Source organism: Homo sapiens, chromosome 20 (assembly GCF_000001405.40).
Source record: "Homo sapiens chromosome 20, GRCh38.p14 Primary Assembly".
NCBI lineage: Eukaryota > Metazoa > Chordata > Mammalia > Primates > Hominidae > Homo > Homo sapiens.
The window spans coordinates 2,962,167-2,983,624 of record NC_000020.11 but is presented as its reverse complement, the minus strand read 5'-3'; the positions used below and the strand labels follow the sequence as shown (position 1 = coordinate 2,983,624).

The window sequence follows — 21,458 nt, the reverse complement described above, 5'->3', positions numbered from 1 at the left end:
TTTTGGAGATATATCTAAAACTTCAAATCTGTCTGCCTTTTTTTTTTTTTTTTTTTGCATTTTTTTTATTGCCACCAGTGTAGTCCCAACCTCCATCCTCTCTCACCTGGATCACAGTAAGCCTCTGCCCCTGCCAATCCATTCTCCACAAAGCAGAGTGATCTCTAGGAAAGCAACTCAGGTTGTGTCCCACTCTTAGGTAAAACCCTCCAACAGTTTCTCATGCCTCAGAATGAAATCTAATCTCCTTATCCTGGACTCTAACAACCCCCTCGATTTAGCCCCTACCTGCCCTATCTCTTGCACTCTTTCCTTGCTCACTCAATTTCAGCCACTGGTGTCCTTCCATGCTTTCATTCATTCATCCTCAGGCCTTTGAGCATGTTATTCCTTCTGCTTTACACAGCCTCTCTCTGTTCTTTGCCTGGTTATCTCCTACTTGTCTGGTTCTCTGTGTGTCACTTTTCCCACACAGGTCTTCTCTGACTTCCTAATACTAAATTAGGATCATAAGTCTCAGTTTCCTCATTTCTGAAATAAGTTATTCTGCGTATTAAATGAGATCTTTCATGTAAAGTTGTTGGCACAGTAACTAGCACACAGTGTGTACTTCATTTTAGCTGTTACGGCCAGGCACAGTGGCTCACGCCTGCAATCCCAGCACTTTGGGAAGCCGAGGTGGGCAGATCATGAGGTCAAGAATTCGAGACCAGCTTGGCCAACATGGTGAAACCCCATCTCTACTAAAAATACAAAAAAAATTAGCCAGGTGTGGTGGCACATGCCTGTAATCTCAGCTACTTAGGAGGCTGAGGCAGGAGAATCGCTTGAACCTGGGGGGCAGAGGTTGTAGTGAGCCGAGATTGCGCCACTGCACTTCAGCCTGGGCAATAGAGCGAGACTCTGTCTCAAAAAAAAAAAAAAAATTGCTGTTATTTCCTATACTATTTTTGTAAGGCAAGGACCTTATTATTTTCCTTGATAATACCTCTCACACTTTATAATTACATATTTGACTTTGTTGATTAATGAATATCCCTCCTTTATAGCATAAATTCCACAAGAGCAAGGATTACATGTCTGCTTCATTCTCACTGTACACCTAAAACCTAGCACAGGGTCTCACACATAACAGGCACAAAACAAACAATGGATTACGTTGAGCCAAAGAACAAAAAAAAATAGTAATTTATCACTAAATGTCTTTGTTAAATTCCAACAACAGGGGGCAGTATATCAGGTATTATAAGAAAGTAATTAGGCACATCCCAGCACTTTGGGAGGCCGAGGCGGGTGGATCACAAGGTCAGGAGTTCAAGACCAGCCTGGCCAATATGGTGAAACCCCGTCTCTGCTAAAAATACAAAATTAGCGGGTGTGGTGGCACACCCCTCTGGTCCCAGCTACTCAGGAGGCTGAGGCAGGAGAATCGCTTGTACCCAGGAGGCGGAGGTTTCAGTGAGCCAAGATCGTGCCACTGCACTCCAGCCTGGGTGACGGAGCGAGACTCTGCCTCAAAAAAAAAAAAAAAAAGAAGAAGAAGAAAGTAATTAGGCACCTTTGGCTTAAGACACTGGGCTAAATCCATGAATTTACTTCATCTTCCCCCAAAGCACACTGACATGGTAGAAGAAATATAAAAATACTAATGAATCAACAGCATATCTGAAAGGCAGCAAACGGTGGCATATGTAGATCAGAATCTTTGAGAGATTTCTGGAAGACAAAACAGACCAGACTCGATGTCCAAGAGATCAAACAGAGCCAAAGAGCCTCCAGCTGAAAACTAAGTACTAGTTCTACCAGTTTGGGCCTGGAAACACCTCAAGCTCAGAGGGAATTGGGACTGGGGTTGAAAGTGGACCTTGAGGTACCAGGATGGTACTTAAGCAAAGGCCTGCCAACCCAGCACCAGTACACCCACAGCCCAAATGACAAGCGGGGCTTCCCATCTAGACTCAGCTGGAAAAACAGTGCTCTACACAGAGTAGAGAGTTTGTCACAGAGACTGGTAAGGGCTTCTTTTTTACAAAACATATGCTGCATATATATTTTCTCAACGTCACACTAATGACATTTTGGGCTATACAATTCTCTGTTATGTGGGTCTGTCATGTGCACTGTAGGACATTTAACAATATCCCTAGCCTCTAATTATTAGATGTCTGTAGCAAATTCCCAATTTTGATGACCAAAAGTATCTCCAAGCATTGCTAAATGCCTTTGTGGGGGAAATAGCCCCCAGTAAGGAACCACTGGTCTATACTCACGCCATTCTAACTGAATTCTTTTAAGGCAAATCCGAGACCTAGCATTTCAAATGCAATTACTTAGGTATGTATCACCAAGAGATCAAGATTCTTAACATAAACATAATACTATTATCCAATTTAAAAAGTAACACTAATTCCTTAGTATCATCTAATATTATTCAGTTACTGCTTGAATTTCCCTGAGTGTCTCATAAATGCTTTTTTTTTGTTTTGGTTAGAATTGACACCAGAGCAGGTCTACACTGCATATGATTGTTAAGTATATTGGGTCCACAGAAGGTCTCCTGGGGCCTGCAGACAGAAAAAAACCATAGTAGTGCCCAAGCTAATTCTAGGCAACCACAAGAGAGGAAAGGAAAAAGAAAACGGCAGCTCGCCTAGAGGATAACTGCACCCTGCCCCGATTTTCCTGAGCCATCACTGAACCCCTTCCTGGTTTAGGACGTATGTCCATGTTTGTCTTCTGAAGGGATGAAGGGACACCTATTGTGAGCACAGTCTAAGCCACTCAATGGTCCAGGGCATAGCTCAAACAGAGCAACAGTAGCCCTGGGAAATGGAGGTGACAAAAGAAACAGAATAAATCTTTCAAAATATACTGCAATTTGTGCAACAGGATGCCATATTGATTTAAAAAAATTTTTTTTCTTAAATTTTTTGTAGAGATGGGGGGAGGGGGTCTTGTTGTTGCCCAGGCTGGTCTTGAACTCTTGGTCTCAAGTGATCTTCTTGCCTTGGCCTCCCAAAATGCTATGATTATGTGCGTGAGCCACTGCTGCATTGCGTTTTTTTTTCTTTTCTCGAGACGGAGTCTCACTCCGTCACCCAGGCTGAAGTGCACTGGCGTGATCTTGGTTCACTGCAACGGCCTCCTGGTTCGAGCGATCCTCACACCTTAGCCTCCCTAGTAGCTGGAACTGCAGGCCTGGCTAAGTTTTGTATTTTTAGTAGAGACAGGGTTTCACTATGTTGGCCAGCCTGGTCTTGAACTCCTGACCTCAGGTGATCAGCCTGCCTCAGCCTCCCAAAGTGCTGGGATTATAGGTGTGAGCCACTGTGCCCAGCCTACATTGATATTTTTTAAAAGCCACTATTTAAAAAGGAGTAATCTGAGTAGTAAGAAGGAGTTCTTTAAAAACTGGCCGGGCATGGTGGCTCACGCCTGTAATCCCAACACTTTGGGAGGCCGAGGCAGGCAGATCACCTGAGGTTGGTAGTTTAAGAGCAGCCTGACCAACATAGAGAAACCCCATCTCTACTAAAAATACAAAATTAGCCAGGTGTGGTGGCACATGCCTGTAATCCCAGCTACTCTGGGGGCTGAGGCAGGAGAATCGTTTGAACCTGGAAGGCAGAGGTTGCGGTGAACCGAGATCGTGCCATTGCACACCAGCTTGGGCAACAAGAGCAAAACTCCGTCTCAAAACAAAACAAAACAAAAATGAAAACAAACAAAAAAACACCAACATGATTAGGAGGGAAAAAATCTAGATAGAAAGGCTTAACAGGGCCGGGCACGGTGGCTCATGCCTGTAAGCCCAACACTTTGGGAGGCCAGGGTGGGAGGACTGCTTGAGGCCAGGAGTTTGAGACCAGCCTGGGCAACTTAGCGAGACTCTGGTAGTCTGTCTCTACCAAACAAACAAACAAACACCTGATTAGCTGGGCATGGTGGCATATGCCTATAGTCCCAGCTACCCGGGAGGCTGAGGCTGGAGGATCGCTTGAGTCCCAGAGGTCAAGGCTGCAGTGAGCTGTGATCAGGCCACTGCACTCCAGCCTGGGCGACAGAGCATGAGTCTGCCCCAGCCCTGCCTCCAAAAAAAGAAAGGCTAAATAGGAGAACTGATATAACTGAAAACCAAATTAGTTGTGTGAAAGAGCAACTGTCCTGGAAGCTCCCAGAACACAGAGCAATAAGAGATGAAAAATATGACAGCATAGAAAAGAAAGGAACTGGATAGGTCCAGGAGATCCAATACCTGTGCAACAGGAGAGTCCAAAGAAGAAACCAGTAAGAAGGGAGAGAAGTAATACAAGAAAGTTCCTGAGTTATCAGGCCAAAAGAAATAATCTAGTTTGTGGAGTAATATTGACAAAAAAATCTTTACACCTAGATGTATTCTGAAAAAATTCTTAAATTCTAATTGAAATCAACCAACGAACCACAGGCCAGCCTTAGAAAACCATTTCCAGGGCATGGGGTTTTAGGGTCTGACAGACCTGAAGTTCAAATTCCTACTATCCTAACTTACTAGTAGTGTGATAATCTCTTAGAACAATGTATGAAATGGAAGCATAATAGCACCCTCCACCTTTTAGAGTTAATGGGAGATCTAAAAGAGGTAACATTTGCAAAGTGTCTGACATGAAGGGAAGAGATTGGCTTTGGCATCCACAAGTTCACACACTAGCAGAGAACCTCAGTCCAGCTTCCTACGCTCAGGCAGTTCTTTGCCTAGAAGAGGGGTCGGCAAACTATAGCCCAAATTTAGCCCACTGCCTGTTTTTGTAAATAAAATGCTATCAGAACATGGCCATGTTCATTCATTTACATACCATCTATGGCTGCTTTTACATTACAAAGGCAGAGCTGAGTAGATGAGACAGAGACAGTATGGTTACAAACCGAAACTGTTTCAACCCCAACTTCATTCCAGCAAAGTTTTACTTTCTAGATTCAGGCCAGGGAGCAAGCATGAAAATGAAAACCACTAAAATGGTGTCCCGGGACAACAGATACCTACTTGCTATAACTTCTTTCCTTGAAAACAAAGGGCCATATTAATTGAAGGGCTCACCTCTAAACAGGTGAGTGACTTAAGGACTTCAGACACACACTGGTCAACTACAAACTAGTCAGTAAAGGAATAGCCATAGTCCTATAGCCCCAGTTCCTATGGCCCATTTACCTATTGCCACACTTTTTGGTACAAGTATTTATCAGCTCTCAAAGGCAAGGTTGTAATGTTGTTTTAAATGTTTCCTATTGGCTCTAAAAACAGCAATATTCATTGGATTGCCTCTAGAATCTAACCACTGGGTTGAGCCCAATCACCGTTGTTTTGAGCCAAATTATTCAGAAACCTAAATTTCTATTGTCCATCTATCTCCCCTAAGTCCTCTGGAATATCTTTCTAAAACCAAAATCTGACTATGTTACTTCCTTACTCACCATCATCTTCAGGAGATGCTCCAACTCCTGAACTCAGTGGACCACCACACCCATTCTGTTGAGGCCACCTCTGATCACTCCCCACACCTCACACATGTCAACTGCGCACAGATCCTCAAACACATGACTTACTCTTTCATGTCTCTTTGCTTGTGCCCTGTCTGGTGTGTCTTCATTTTCCCCATTTGCTATTTTAATTTAAACTTCCCAAAGCACATCTCTGTGCCTCCTTCCCACTCCCCAGATATAATGAGCCTTCTGAGTTCCCTCAGCACTTTGTGTGATATATCCAATGGCATGTAACTGAGTAGACTTCGGTTCCTGATGTTCACATATTTCCTTCCTGAGATAGGGAAGCATATGCATATATATATTTACATATTTTATATATATTTATATATAAAATTTTTTCTGGACTCCTTGATGCTTAATAGGTACTGAATAAATGCCGAATGTAAAAGGTGCTTAGAGAAAGCCATCATAAACTCATAATAATAATGGCACTATGATAATCCCCGCCCTTTTTTTTTTTGAGACAGAGTCTTGCTCTGTTGCCCAGGCTAGAGTACAGTCACGCAATCTTGGCTCACTGCAACCTCCATTTCCTGGGCTCAGGTGATCCTCCCACCTCAGCGTCCCAAGTGGCTGGGACTACAGGTACGTACCACATGCCTGGTTAATTTTTGTATTTTTAGTAGAGACAAGGTTTCCCCATATTGCTCAGGCTGGTCTGGAACTCCTGGGCTCAAGTGATCCACCTGCCTCAGCCTCCCAAAGTGCCCTAACACTCTTAAAACAAGAATATCAACTCTTTCTAGACTTAAGTAGTAGCTCAAGGACTACTTCTTTACAAATATTAAGAGTCTGATTTTTTTTTTTTTTTTTGAGACAGAGTCTTGCTCTGTCACCCAGGCTGGAGTGCAGTCTGGATCGCAGCCAAGAGCGCGATCTTGGCTCACTGCAACCTCTGCCTCCCAGGTTCAAGCAATTCTCCTGACTCAGCCTCCCGAGTAGCTGGGATTACAGGCGCACACCACCACGCCCGGCTAATTTTTGTATTTTTAGTAGAGATGGGGTTTTATCATATTGGTCAGGCTGGTCTTGAACTCCTGACCTTGTGATCCACCCGCCTTGGCCTCCCAAAGTGCTGGGATTACAGGCGTGAGCCACTGCACCTGGCTGGAATATATTTTAAAATAATATGCATGAGAAAATAACCAGTTTCCTGGACTTCAGAAGAGGAAGAAAAGTTGCCCTCCCTCTCATTTCTTTTTGCTTTGACAATTAAAACATCAGACACTACTGTTCAAAAGCACCCCAAAGACCAGTGCATAAAAACAGGTAGCCCCTAATTCATCTGCATAAGACATAACTGCTTATCAAACCGATTATAATACAAGCATTTCCAAACAGCTGGCTTATTTCTCAAAAAGCATTTGGCTTAAAATTAGAATGGGATATCCAAATTTATAGCAATACTTCTAAAGATCTGCTCTGGTAAAATTGCCATTAGATTTTGGGACTTTAGAGACTGCTGAGAATACCTATGCCTTTTCAGTTTCCTGTTTGGAATTACACAAAATTATTTTTTGACTTAAGAAAGGAGATTTATTACATTAATAGACTTTACATATGTCACAATTAGCAATAATCTAGGTAATTATGGTAATTTTGTTTTCTTAATCACAACATGGAAACTACTTAAATATTGGGTAGGTAAAATAGATATGATATCTGGGGCAAGAAAAGGCTGAATATTATGAAAATATATACTAAATAGAGGAAGGAGTCAACAGATCTTATGTTTCATCTTGAAGCCTACCACTTTGACTTTTGACTTTATTGTAAGGCTGGTTAAGAGAGCAGTTTTAGGGAGCAAGTAAATATCTATCACAATAAAACCTATTTAAGTCTACATTTGATAAAATCTGGCAAGTGAATCTGAACAGCAAAGACACTGTATTAATCCAATGTTTAGTTCCCAAGTTTAGGAAAGTGAGAGGTGGAAAAGTGAGGGAAATCTGTACACAGTATGGTAACACCTCACTATTCCTTACCAAATACAATGGCAGATGGACATCACATAAAGGAAGAGAGTACCCACTTTTCTGACTCAAATGCTCCCTACTTAGTGGGACTTCATATGCCTCCAAGTGTTCCATTACTTAATTACACAGGGAAAATTGTGTATGGTTAAATAACAGAATCAGAAAAAAAACTCAAGTCTGATTTGATAAAATAGAAAATTATGATAAAAACACTGCTTCGAATAGTAACATTTTTAAAACTCAAATGTAATAATCACTTCTTAGAATGTTAGATGATCTCTTTCTCTTTCTCTCATGCTCTTTGATAGCAGCCTTACTGTCATTCTAGGCAAAATGTGCCACACTTCTGCAGACAAGTACCCATGTCCCCCTACTCTCTAGTGACCAGGGACTCAGCAGTCCAGCTTAAACCACAGACACAACATCTCAGGCCATAGAGACTTTACATTTAAGGGCTGAAAATCCATAAAATCCATATAAAGCCACAAAGGGTTGACATTTTATACACTAGGGGAAAAACAACACAAAGAATATTTAAAGGGAACTGTGGCCTAGAAATCAGAAGTAACTAATGGTATAGAAATTATGACCTAATATCACCAAAAAGTAATGTTAACAAAGTGACATGTCAAAGTAAGATATATTTTGTTACTTGTTAAAATACATCATAGCTGTTAGAATCCATAGTCTATATTAAAAAACATACTGAATACAGTACTTGTTTCTATTGCTCTTCTCCATGAGATTAACATGGAAATAACTTAAGGGAAAGTAAACAAACAACACAGCCACAGATGCACACGGTTACCACAGACTGTGAGCAGAGGAAATAAATGAATACTGTACACTGTGTAAAAGGAACAACAGATATAAGGTGAGCAGCTCACCTCTTCTGTCCTTCGAGTCAGAATTACCTGTGTAATAAGTAAAAAATAGAAACATTCATTCAGGTTAAAGAAACACATTACAATTCAATTAGAGTACAACAAAACAAGCTCCAGGATTAGGAATGCTTTCCTCCATGAGGCATCCTCCAACAACTGGGAAACAAGGCTGCCCAGATTCACTAAACTTTGGACAGTGGTCTGGCCTTCTCCCTGGGTACACAAATAGTGCAGCATCAATATTCATAAAAAGTATGAGAATGCAAACAGAACGCATGTTATTAGAGGACTTTATGTCTTTTGCTCCATTAAAATTCAAGAGGACAAAATTAAGTAAGGATACAAAAGACCAAAATGATAAGTAATAAAATCTAATTGGTACATACCAAACTCTACAGACTAACAGAGAAAACCTTCTTTTCAAAGGCGAGTGAAATATCCACAGCCCTTATAAACCCCAACAGTAGAAAGAGTACAATATTCTTTTGTCCCAATGCAATAAAATTAGAAATTGACAAAGTAAGAAAACATTTGAAAATAAAAATCAAAACCAAAATGAGGCCGGGTGCAGTGGATCACCTGAGGTCAGGAGTTCGAGACCAGCCTGGCCAACATGGTAAAACCCCGTCTCTACTAAAAATACAAAACAAATTAGCTGGGCGTGGTGGTGGGTGCCTATAATCCCAGCTACTTGGGAGGCTGAGGCACGAGAATCACTTGAACCCAGGAGGGGGAGGTTGCAGTGAGCCGAGATCATGCCACTGTACTCCAGCCTAGGTAACAGAGCGAGACTCTATTTCAAAGAAAAAAAAAAATCAAAACCAAAATGGGCTGGGCACAGTGGCTCACGTCTTTAATCCCAGCACTTTGGGAGGCTGAGGCACAAGAATTGCTTAAACCTGGGAGGGTAGAGGTTGCAGTGACCCAAGATCACACCACTGTACTCCAGAAGGGGGGCAGAGTGAGATTCCATCTCAAAAATCAAACAGACGGCCGGGCGCGGTGGCTCACGCCTGTAATCCTAACACTTTGGGAGGCCGAAGTGGGCAGATCACAAAGTCAGGAGAATGAGACCATCCTGGGTAACACAGTGAAACCCTGTCTCTAATAAAAATACAAAAAAAAAATTAGCCAGGCGTGGTGGTGTACGCCTGTAGTCCCAGCTACTTGGGAGGCTGAGGCAGGAGAATGGCGTGAACCAGGAGGCAGAGCTTGCGGTGAGCAGAGATCACGCCACTGCACTCCAGCCTGGGCAACAGAGCGAGACTCCATCTCAAAAAAAAAAAAAAAAATCAGACAAACAAAAAACCCAAAATGGAAAAATACCTTAAAAATAACAATGACGAGAAGTTTTGTGACAGAACCTGCCAACTCTCCTCCCCTCAGATCAGTCTCTTTCTCTTCTTGCCTTGATACAGAACCTTTGTTTTTTAGCTGAGCACCAAGCTCTCCTGGCAGACTATATTTGAGACTCCTTTGTGCTAGGTGTGGTCATGTGATGAATTCTAGCCAACGGGATGTGAGCTAAAGCAATGTGAGTAACTTCCAGGTCACATCTTTTGGAAGAGAAATGGCCCCTATTCCCTTTGTTTGTCCTTCGCAGTGGTTGGAACTAGAACCCAATGGTGAGAACTATCTCTAACCAAACAGATAAGGGCAATATTGTTAGGATGGCAGGGCCACAAGAGGAAAGGAATTTGGTCCCTACTGAGACGAAGGCCCTGTCTACCTCTGGAATGTAACTGGGGAGAGAAAGACACTTTGGTCTTATTTAAGTCACTGAATTTTGGTATCTTTGTCAGAGCAGCTTATAGCGCATCCTAATACAACTGCCTATAGAAACACCTATGGGATGTGGCTAAAGCTGTGCTTGTTCAAAATTCACAGCACTAAATATGTTAATTAACTGGAAAGAATGCAATTAAAGCACACTCAATTCAAGAAGATAGAAAAAGAACAAAATAAATCTAAAGAAGGTAGAAAGTAAAAATCAATGAAATAGAAAACGTAAACATAAAAGGACTATAAATGCACAATAGCAAGTTCTTTGGAAGAAAAAAGGCAATAAACCTATGAAATAAATGGTTATTCAGCCTAAACAAAAAAAAAAAGGAGACATAAAGTAAACAAAATTTAAAAATTAATAGCTCTGTAGGCTATTATAATAAATAATCACAAGGGAGAACTTTTCCTCATTCAAATACATTTGAAAACATGAATGAAATGGCCAGATGTGGTGGCTCACACCTGTAATCCTAGCACTTTGGGAGGCTAAGACAGGAGAATCATGTGAGCCCAGGAGTTCAAGACCAGCCTGGGCAACATGGCGAAACCCCATCTCTACAAAAAAATACAAAAAATTAGCTGGGCATGGTGGAACACACCTGTAATCCCAGCTACTTGGGAGGCTGAGGTGAGAGGATCACCTGAGCCCAGGAGGTGCAGGCCGCAATGAGCCGAGATCATGCCACTGCACTCCAGCACTAGGCAACAGTGAAAAAGCCTGTCTTAAAAAAAAAAAGCATATTTTTTAGTGTAAACTTTCAAATCCTTTCCATGTAGCAAAACAAAACACTAAAAACTAAAACTTATCAAAAAGAATACACACACAAAGGAAAAACATAGATCAATCTCATTTAGAGATAATTTGAGAATATCTAGACAGAGAAAATTCTAAATGAAAAAAATAAGAAATAATATCAAATAGACTGCAACAGCTTGTTACAGGAACGATACAATATGTTTGGGCGGCCTTGGCTCATGCCTATAATCCCAGTGCTTTGGAAGGCTAAGGCTGAGGACTGCTTGAGGCCAGGAGTTCATGACCAGTCTGGGCAACACAGTGAGTCCCTGTTTCTGAGAAAATTTAAAAATTAGCTGGGCGTGGTGACATGCGCCTATAGTCCTTAGCTACTCAGAAGTCTGAGGTGGGGTTTGCTTAAGTCTGGGAGTTCAAGGTTACAGTGAGCCATGATCGTGCCACTGTACTTCAGCCTGGATGACTCAAAGGAAAAGACTTAAAGCAAAGCAAAGGTCAACAGAAAAGAAAAATTAAGAAGATTAAAGAATTAATTCAGAGCAAGACCCTGTCTCTAAAAAATGAATAAATAAAAACTGGCAGGGCGCAGTGGCTCACACCTATAATCCCAGCACTTTGGGAGGCTGAGGCAGGATCATGGGGTCAGGAGTTCGAGACCAGGTTGGCCAACATGGTGAAACCACGTCTCTACTAAAATACAAAAAATTAGCCGGGCATGGTGGTGCGTGCCTGTAGTCCCAGCTACTCGGAGGCTGAGGCAGGGGAATCACTTGAACCCGCGAGGTGGAGGTTGCAGTGAGCTGAGATGGCGCCACTGCACTCCAGCCTGGTAACAGACTCCATCTCAAAATAAACAAACAAACAAACAAACCTAGGAATAGAATCCACCATAGAAACAGACCAAAAGAGAAAAAAAATCATTCAGATCTTTCTCATTGATCCTGAACAGGCAACTGGCAAAATTTAACACCCATTCCTAACATAAACGCTCATTAAATCCTGAACACAATAAAATATGTTTATCTCAACTCAAGAGTCAGTACCACGTATAATGAAAAACCACTGAAAGTGTCCTCCTTAGTGTCAGATACAAGAGAATGCTGTCTGCATTTACCAGCTGCTTAACTTTGTTCTGGAGGTATTCATCAATGCGATTAAACAGAAGAAAAAGAAAGTTCTAAAAATTTGGAAGATATATGCAGATGAGATGACTTGAAGCCATAAAAATTAATGAAGAAAATTACTTCCAATACTAAGAGAGTTTAAGGTGGCCAGTACAAAATGTCTCTACAAAAATCAGTAGCCTTCATATCCCCAACAGCAGCCAGTTAGAAGATCTGATGGAAGAAAATGCTCCATTTATAATTACAAAAACAGAAGATTTAAAAAAAAAAGACTTCAGAAAATGGAATATATTGCATTCTTGGATAGTTAGACTCAACATCTGTAAGATGCCATTTTCTCTGTTAATCTACGTATTTAACATGATCAATACAAACTTTTTTTCCTGCTAGACAAGTTAATTCTAATGTTTATAATAAGAATTGCTAACAAAATTCTGAAAAATAAAATTAACAAGGAATGACTCATTTTACTGGATATTAAATACTTTACAAAGTTACAATTATTGAGACAGTGAGGCTTTGCACATGGACAGAGAAAAAGATTAATAGAAAATAAAATGAATGTTCCCAAATACTCAAATACATATGAAGAGGTAAATAAATATCTGAATTCAATATATAAGATAGGTGGCATTTCAAATCAATGAGGAAAAATAAATTATTAAGGGGTATTGGGACAAGTTAGATATTTGGGGAAAAACAGATCCATAGCTCACTCTGCATCAGAATAAATTCGAGACAGACTTAAGTGCGTGTACACACACACACACACACACGAAACCATAGAAGTCCAGAAGAAAATTATTTTTATAATCTTGGAGTAAGGAAAGCCTTCCTAGATATGACCCAATTCCTAGAAAACCTAAACTGAGAAATATTTAAATTAAAAAAATTAAAAATAGCTAATGATATCTTCTGCAATGCAGAAAATCTAGATGACCACCTAGGGAACAACATTTGCAGTTTTACCATAGGCAAAGGACTCATTTCCCAAACGTACAAAGAACATCTACAAACGAGTCAGGAAAACCTTGACACTCTAATAAAAATGGGTAAAGAATATCAACAGAGAATGCTCAGAAAAATAAATGATCTTTTAAATTACACAAAATTGCTCAATCTCAGCAAAATGCAAATTAAACTTACACTGAGATGTTATTTTTCACCTGTCAGATTGGCAGAGATCCCCAAGTTTAACAATTCACCACACTGAAGAGAGTTTAGAAAAATAGGCACTTTGACATATTGTTAATAGGAATAGACTTCCTAGCAGAGGTAAATGTGGCAATATCCATAAATTTATAAATGCAGACTTAAAATAATTCATCCTGCTAATATTCTCATATGTGTCTGAAATGACAAACTGTATTGTTTATAAGAGTACTCTGAAAACAATCTTAGTGTCCACTGATGGGGAAACTGGATAAAGAGATTAAGGTATATCCTTCAATACAGCAGCTCTTTACTAAAACAAAGAGCAAGTATGATAGGGTAACTGAAAAAGCAATATGCAGAAATCAACTCAGCATATCTATTATTTATATTATAAATGGAAAAAATGAATATATATGCTTTTGTAAAAGGAGTTATTTATTTATTTATTATTTATTTAGAGAGAGAGTCTTGCTCTGTTGCCCAGGCTGGAGTGTAGTGGCGCAATCTCGGCTCACTGCAAGCTCCACCTCCTGGGTTCACGCCATTCTCCTGCCTCAGCCTCCAGAGTAGCTGGGACTACAGGCACCTGCCACCACGCCCAGCTAATTTTTTTTTGTATTTTTTAGTAGAGATGGGGTTTCACCATGTTAGCCAGGAGGGTCTTGATCTCCTGACCTCGTGATCTGCCCGCCTCAGCCTCCCAAAGTGCTGGGATTACAGGCATGAGCCGCCGCGCCCGGCCTATTTATTTACACCATGTTAGCCAGGAGGGTCTTGATCTCCTGACCTCGTGATCTGCCCGCCTCAGCCTCCCAAAGTGCTGGGATTACAGGCATGAGCCGCCGCGCCCGGCCTATTTATTTATTTTTAAAAGGTATTCTAGGCTGGGCGCAGTGGCTCACGCCTGTAATACCAGCACTTTGGGAGGCCGGGGCAGGTGGATCATGAGGTCAGGAGTTCGAGACCAGCATGGCCAACATGGTGAAACCTGTCTCTACTAAAAATACAAAAAACAGCTGGGTGTGGTGGTGGGCATGTGTAATCCCAGCTACTCAGGAGGCTGAGGCAGGAGAATTGTTTGAACCCTGAAGGCAGAGTTTGCAGTATGCCGAGACTGCGCCATTGCACTCCAGACTGGGCGACAGGGTGAGACTGTCTCAAAGAAAAAAAAAAAGGTATTCTACCTTTTTACTTGTCACTGATTTTTTTTTTTTGAGATAGAGTCTCGGGTCTCACTCTGTTCCCCAGGCTATAGTGCAGGGACTTGACTCACTGCAACCTCCACCTCCCAGGTTCAAGCAATTCTCATGTCTCAGCCTCCCAAGTAGCTGGGATTACAAGTATATGCCAACACGTTTGACTAATTTTTTTATTTTTAGTAGGTAGACAGAGGGTTTTGCCATGTCGGCTAGGCTGGTCTTGAGCTCCTGGCTTCAAGTGATCCACCTGCCTTGGCCTCCCAAAGTGCTGGGATTACAGGAGTGAGCCACCACACCAGGCCTATTTATTTTTGAGATGAGGTCTCCCTCTGTTGCCCAGACTGGAGTACGGTGGTGCGATCACAGCTCACTGCAGCAGCCTCAACTGCCAGGCCTCAAGTAATCCTCCTGCCTCAGCCCTGAGTAGCTGGGACCACAGGCATGAGCCATTAGGCCCTGCTAATTTCTAAATCATTTGTAGAGATGAGGTTTTGCTGCGATGCTTAGGCTGGTCTCAAACTCCCGGGCTTAAGCGATCCTCCTGCTTCAGCCTCCCAAAGTGCTGGAATTACAGATATAAGCCACTGTGCCTAGCTGGCCTTTGTTTATTTTTAAAAGGAGAAAAAGACTCAAAGCAAAGATCAACAGAAAGGAAAAATTTTAAAGATTAAAGAATTAATTCAGGATACATCCAATATCCAAATATTAAGAATTTGAGAAAAAAAAAAAAGGAAGAGGGGGAGAAGGTTTCAAAGAAATGGGAGAAAATTTTCAGAAATGCAAGATCAAGGCTCTAAAGGGCCTATTAAGTATCCATAATAATGAACGAAAAAGACCCACATCAAGATACATCTCTGTGAAATTTCAGGATACTGATGATAAAGAGAAGATCCTAGAAAGCATACAAACAATTAGGGATTAAGATAGCAGTAAAATCCTCCAAACCTGGTAAACAGGTGTCAGTTAGGGCATTACTTTAAAAATTCTGGGGGAAAAATATTCCTCAAATTCTATGCACAGCCCTAAAGATATTTTTAGATATGTAAGGATGCAATTTGCCTCCCATGGACCCCTTTTCTCAGGAATCTACCGAATGATGAGAAGACAAAAAGGAAGACAATATGGAAGTCAGGAAGCAGCAGCAAGGGGAATTCCCAGAATGACAGAGAAGGGAAATCTCAGGCTGATGTATCTGTGTAGTAGCCCTAGAGATCGACAAGCCTAGACTGGAATAAGACAATGGAGGGCTCAGGAGGAATTTCTAGAGGTAAAAAAGAAATAGATTATCTAACAGATCTCACTTTGTAGAAAGCTGTTTTGAGAGGCTCTGGAGAGCATGGTAAGAATTGAGTAGCAATAACTTTTTTGAGACATGGTCTCGCTTTGTCACCCAGGCTGGAGTGCAGTGGTATGAACACAGCTCACTGCAGCCTCAACCTCCTGGGCTTAAGCAATCCTCCCACCTCAGGCTCCTGAGTAGCTGGGACTACAAGCACATGCACCCATGCCCAGCTAATTTTTGTATTTTTTGTAGAGATGGGGTTTCACCATGTTCCCCAGGCTGGTCTCAAACTCTTGAGCTCAAGTGATCTGTCCACCTTGGCCTCCCAAAGTGCTGGGATTACAGGTGTTAGCCAGTGTGCCTGGCCTGACTAAATAGAAAACTAAATAAACAAAAAATAAGGTAAGTATTAAATCCAGAAAAAAAACTGTACAAGAAAAACAATCCATTTATACTTATAGCTCAGCAATGAATATTTCATAATTACAATAATATACATCAAATACTGATTTAATAAAAAATTGTAACTGTTACAGGAGGACTGGTAAATGGTGGTGATAAGTGGGATGTGGGGTTTAAGACTATGAAATTCCCATGTGCGATAATGGTTTCTTGTGTTTTACTCATCTTGAATAAACGCCACTAGAGAAACATAGTCTCAGCCTCCTATGACGTGAACTGTGTTAAATGTACAATAACTAGATTCTTAGCTGTGGCACAATTTGGACCTAAGTCAGTTTATGGAAAACTAAGTTCCCTACAAGCAGAGTGGAAAGACCGCAAAAGTGAGAAATAGGCCTAATTTGTCAGCCTTGAGATCTAAAACAAATCATTTAACCTCTATATACAGTCTGAAATCAAGCATCTGTTAAAAGGAGATGATTATCCATGGTCATGTCACAGAACTGTTAAATGAAAGACAGTACACAATAGAACATGGGCTGTTCAGTCAGTCAGGCCTGTGTTACAGTCTCCACCTTTTCCATTCACTCATACAGTTTGTACAAGTTATCCTGCCTTTCTCCCTAAGCAATGGCCACAACCCAACATTTTATGTTGTTACTAAAATTTCAAAAAATTGTATGTAACATTAAAAGAATAAACATGGAACTGGATCATCCATTAAAATAAAACAAAACAAACAACTAGTGGTGGCCTGCTAAAGTGATTTCATGAATTGTGTCATGACCTGTACACTGAAAAACATTCCACAAATTATGGTTTCATCATTGTAAAATACTTTCACCTATAAAACATAAAATAGAACTTAATTCATAGGATTATTCTAGAAAACTCTTAGTACGATGCCTAGCACACAGTAATAACTATGACAAAACTACATTAACTCTAAAGCACAAAGCAAGTATCAGACATTATTTGTCTGCAGTCCCCTATCTCATCAAGAATAGTGGGATGCCATCTGCATTAAAGGTACCTTCATATATTTTACTGGTAACTATCAGAGCAATAACCACAACAATACTAACAGCTCACACTTAAAAATAGTGCTTACCATGTGTAGGCACCTTTATAAGTGCTTTACCCATATTAACTTGTTTAATCCTAATATCTCCTCTATGAGGTAAGAACTATTACTATCACTCATTCTTGTTTCACAGATGAACAAACCGAGGTAGAGAGATAAAGTAAGCCAGCTATGCCATAAACATGGCTGGTTTATGGAAGAGCTGGGATTCAAACTCAGTGTGGCACTGAAGACTGTGCTCTTAACTGCAAATGCTGTCTTGTCTTTACGGTAGAAAATATGGGGAAAAGCTGGCAGGTGAAGGGTCTGAGTTATAAGGCGCAGTAAAAGATATCATCTGTAGTAACAAATGAGAATCAACTGAGCAAACAGTTCCTGAATGTTCCACATGAGCGAGATGTGATTCTGCTTAGGGGCACTCACCATCTAACTGGGAACACAGAAGAGGAAAGAGTGATTTTTGCTAGAAAAGGGATGACAGTTACATAGCAATCAGGTAATGATTATTTCCTTTACTCCTCATAGAAGCCCTTTGAGGGTATCTCTAATCCTCTTTTACAGACAAGGTACCTAAGGTTCAAAGAGGTCAGAAACTTGTCTTACCTGCCCTGGTCTCAGATCCACGTCTCTGATTTTCTCCTTGGGACTACTGCTTCAACCTGAGGCCCTGAACAACTGGCACTGCAATGTAACCATTTCCCAGAGCCTGATGCCACCCCTGGCCACTGGCCTGCCACTCCATATCTAACTGTCATGGACATCAATGTCCATTCTCCTTTCCATGGTCTCCATGGATCCCTCCCTTTCCAAACCTAATCTTATTACTCATTCTCTGTATCTCACATCTAACTGTCATGGACATCAATACCCATTCTCCTTTCCATGGTCTCCACGGATCCCTCCCTTTCCAAACCTAATCTTATTACTCATTCTCTGTATCTTTTCATCTTCAGTCTCTTGCATCGTCAATGAGCTCCTCTATTTCTCTTGTCTTTTTAAGCCTTCTTCTCTACCTTTAAACACATTTAAGTCCTCTCAATCTAACCAGGATCCCACCTAGCAGAAAGATATTCTCCAGAATCTTTCTTCTTTCCTCTTCACTCATGCTAACCCAAAAATTCCACATACAGGTTTCATTACTTCACTTGAGCAATTTTACTTATTTGAAGAAATTTTAAGGCTAGAAAACACAAACAAGATAATAAAAGGAAGACTAAACTCAAAGAGCAAAAGAACAAACAGAATCATCTCTAGTACCTGAAGGAGGGAAAGTTTCTGGAGTGGTTGCTGCGGTGCTGGAATTCCCCTCCCAGGGTTCTGTTCTGGCATCCGTGAACTGGTTATCTGGAAGCCACGTTCCATTTGGTGAAATTGTAATGCCTATAGAATTGGTGCTTGCTGTTCTTGTGGTCCCATTGTCAGAGTCTGAAGAATTGACAGTGGTTAAATAGGTGGGTCCCAGAGTTATATTTGGGCTGAATGTTGGTGCCACAGAAAGAGAAGTTAGTGAAGAAGTTGGATTTGAAGTTTTGGCCTCTTCTTTAACTGGTTCTGCCGTTGATGAGTTAATTAATCTTGTAATTCCTACAGAAGGTGCAACTACAAACACCAAAAAACAAGGAAATAGCACATGAAGAATGTGAGGCTAAAAAGCTGTGAGACACAAAGCAGCAAGCCTTAATAAACTCTCAAACATATGGAGACCAAGCAAAGACCAATCCCCCTCAACACCACCCACCCCCTACGTTTTTATCTCATGCTGGACCTTTCCTACCTCCTCCAAAGGACTACGGTTTAAGGGAGAAAGACACAAGATTCTTCACTTAGTTCCTCAGAAACCATATATAGAGTTGTAAATGTCAACAATTTATTTTACTTTTCAGGAAAGAACACATAATCTCTTTGATTTATTTAAAGCAGTTATGTATGTATGAAAAACAATGCTGAGCATTCAATTCCAAGATTTCTGAAGACACCTATTTTACCATCACTTTGAATAAAATTTTTATATTCCTTTCTTCAAATACCATCTCGGTTTTCAAATGTGGCTCATTAAATGTGAAAGCAAAATTTCATTTCAAATAGCAGCCTTATCAAATGACAATTTACCTGTGGTAGCATTGTTGGCACTGACACATATCAGACCACTGCCGAGCAGAACAAGAATGAACCAGGAATCCATGCTTATCTGGAAAATAGGGAGTCATGTTAGATGAGGTCCTATATTATCAGGACTATGTCTGAGCTGGTCACCAGAAGAGTATTCTGGATTTCCAAGCTATTAAAATGTGTGCCTAAACCAATGATCTTTTGGGAGCCTGATATGCATGCTTCCTCAGATATCCAATAACTAATTGAGTCTTTATAAAGACTGACTATCCCTTATCTTGAGGACTAGCAGTGTTTCAGATTTTTTTTAAGAGATAGGGTCTTGCTCTGTTGCCCAGGATGGAGACAGTGGTTATGATCATAGCTCAGTGCAGCCTCTACCTCCTGGACTCAAGTGATCCTTCTGTCTCAGCCTCCTGAGTAGCTGGGACTATAGGCATGTACTACGATGCCTGGCTAATTTTTAAAATTTTCTGTAGAGACGGCGTCTCACTATGTTGTCTAGGCTGCTCTCAAACTCTTGGGTTCAACTGATCCTCTTGCTTCAACTTCCCAAAGTGCTATGATTACAGGTGTGAGCTCCCACACCTAGTCCCTAATCCAAATTTTGAAATCCAAAATGTCCCAGTGAGCATTTTTTTGAGCATCATGTCTGCGCTCAAAAAGTTTCAAATTTTGGAGCATTTCAGATTTTGGGATTAGAGATATCCAACCTGTAAAAATAAGTCTTAATAGGACTCCTTTTTTATTTTTTTTTGAGACGGAGTCTTGCACTGTCGCCCGGGCTGGAGTGCAATGGTGTGATCTTGGCTCACGGCAACCTCCGCCTCCCGGGTTCAAGCAATTCTCCTGCCTCAGCCTCCCGAGTAGCTGAGATTAGAGGCATGTGCCACCATGCCCGGCAAATTTTTAGTAGAGATGGGGTTTCTCCATGTTGGTCACGCTGGTCTCAAACTCCTGACCCCAGGTGACCTCCCAGCCTCAGCCTCCCGAAGTGCTGGGATTACAGGCGTGAGTCATCACATCTGGACCAAAAAACTTTTTTAAAAAAGTCACCTGTGCTAGACTACAGCTTTGTGGGTGAGAGCTAGGGAGCAGTCCCTTTTAAAGCTCCCAAGTTGATTGCTAGGTGCAGCTTTACAGTTTTCAGAGTGAGAAGTATGGAGAAGGTAGGCTGATTGCACTGATGTACTGCTGCCCTTCAAGGAACACATTATATAGCTGTTCTCAACCTTTATTCCACCTCGAACCATGTAAGATAGTAGCATGTCCCCACCAGTAATAGTGGTTTGTTCATCCATTCAGATTTTTATGCCCTATACTGAGCTAGTGCTAGAGAAACAACTGGGGAGCAATACACTCATGAGCCCCATCTTCACAGGACTCACAGTCTAAAGTGTTCAATGTGGTAGTGACTCTCCAAGGGAAGTAGGACACACATCCTTAAGGGACACATGAAAATCTCAAGGGTAGGGGGGGAAGAGAAGGAGATGTAGGTGGTTCATATATACTCCAGGAGTTTGCCCCTGGTACCAGCAGCCGTGCCTAGCAGGGAAATGGGTTCAGCAGTGGCCTTCAGGTGCATCCACAGAAGATTTTGACAATTTCCCCATTCTTCCTAGGCTGTGATCATTAAACCAGTGATATACTGTTAGATTTTCATAAAACTTACATTTTATAACTCTGTTTGGATAGTGAATTAACATGGATCTCTGGCAGAACCCAGCTCAATTACTACCTGAGCCTAATCCAAAATTGGAAACTCATACAATTTCCTTCACAAGGGTCAAACAACAAGTGGAAGGCTGACTATTATATATGTATATGTATACATGTCTATTCTTGATAAATTAATAGAAAATGGTTTTGGGAAAAATAACTACATATTTGAGAGGAGGGAGTTAGACCACCACCTCATTCCATATACCAAAATAAATTCCACATAGGTTTAAAAATTAAATGCTTGAAAACACATTTTAAAAGAAAATAAATGAATATGTGAGCTCAGGATGAGGAAAAACTTTCTAAGCATAAAAGGCAATTAAGAAATCATAAAGGTAGAAGTGGAATATCTGACAGAAAAAACAAAAGCTCCTAAACATAAAGAAGAAGCCCATCATAAATAATGTTTATGGACAGGAAGACTCAATATTGTCAAGATGTCAGTTATTCCCAAATAAGCCT

The 21,458-nt window shown here is 41.0% G+C and overlaps 1 protein-coding gene across 28 annotated transcripts in view; it reads right to left on the bottom strand.

The window, feature by feature from the left end:
* PTPRA (protein tyrosine phosphatase receptor type A) overlaps window positions 1-21,458 on the bottom strand; it is a 174,486-nt gene that overhangs the window by 55,045 nt on the left and 97,983 nt on the right. For 14 of the 28 annotated variants that reach the window (NR_170936.1, NM_001388321.1, NM_080841.3 and 11 more), the window contains 2 exons: window positions 19,275-19,353; window positions 18,423-18,764 (listed from right to left, as the gene is read on the bottom strand). Coding sequence is in view for 24 of the 28 variants with exons in the window: in NM_001385304.1 (NP_001372233.1) it covers window positions 18,423-18,764; window positions 19,275-19,353 (421 nt within the window). In the remaining 4 variants the exon portion in view is untranslated. Of the gene's footprint in view, window positions 1-8,383; window positions 8,411-18,422; window positions 18,765-19,274; window positions 19,354-21,458 lie in introns of all 28 variants that reach the window. The other 14 variants (NM_002836.4, NM_001385306.1, NM_001385320.1 and 11 more) reach the window with 3 other exon arrangements.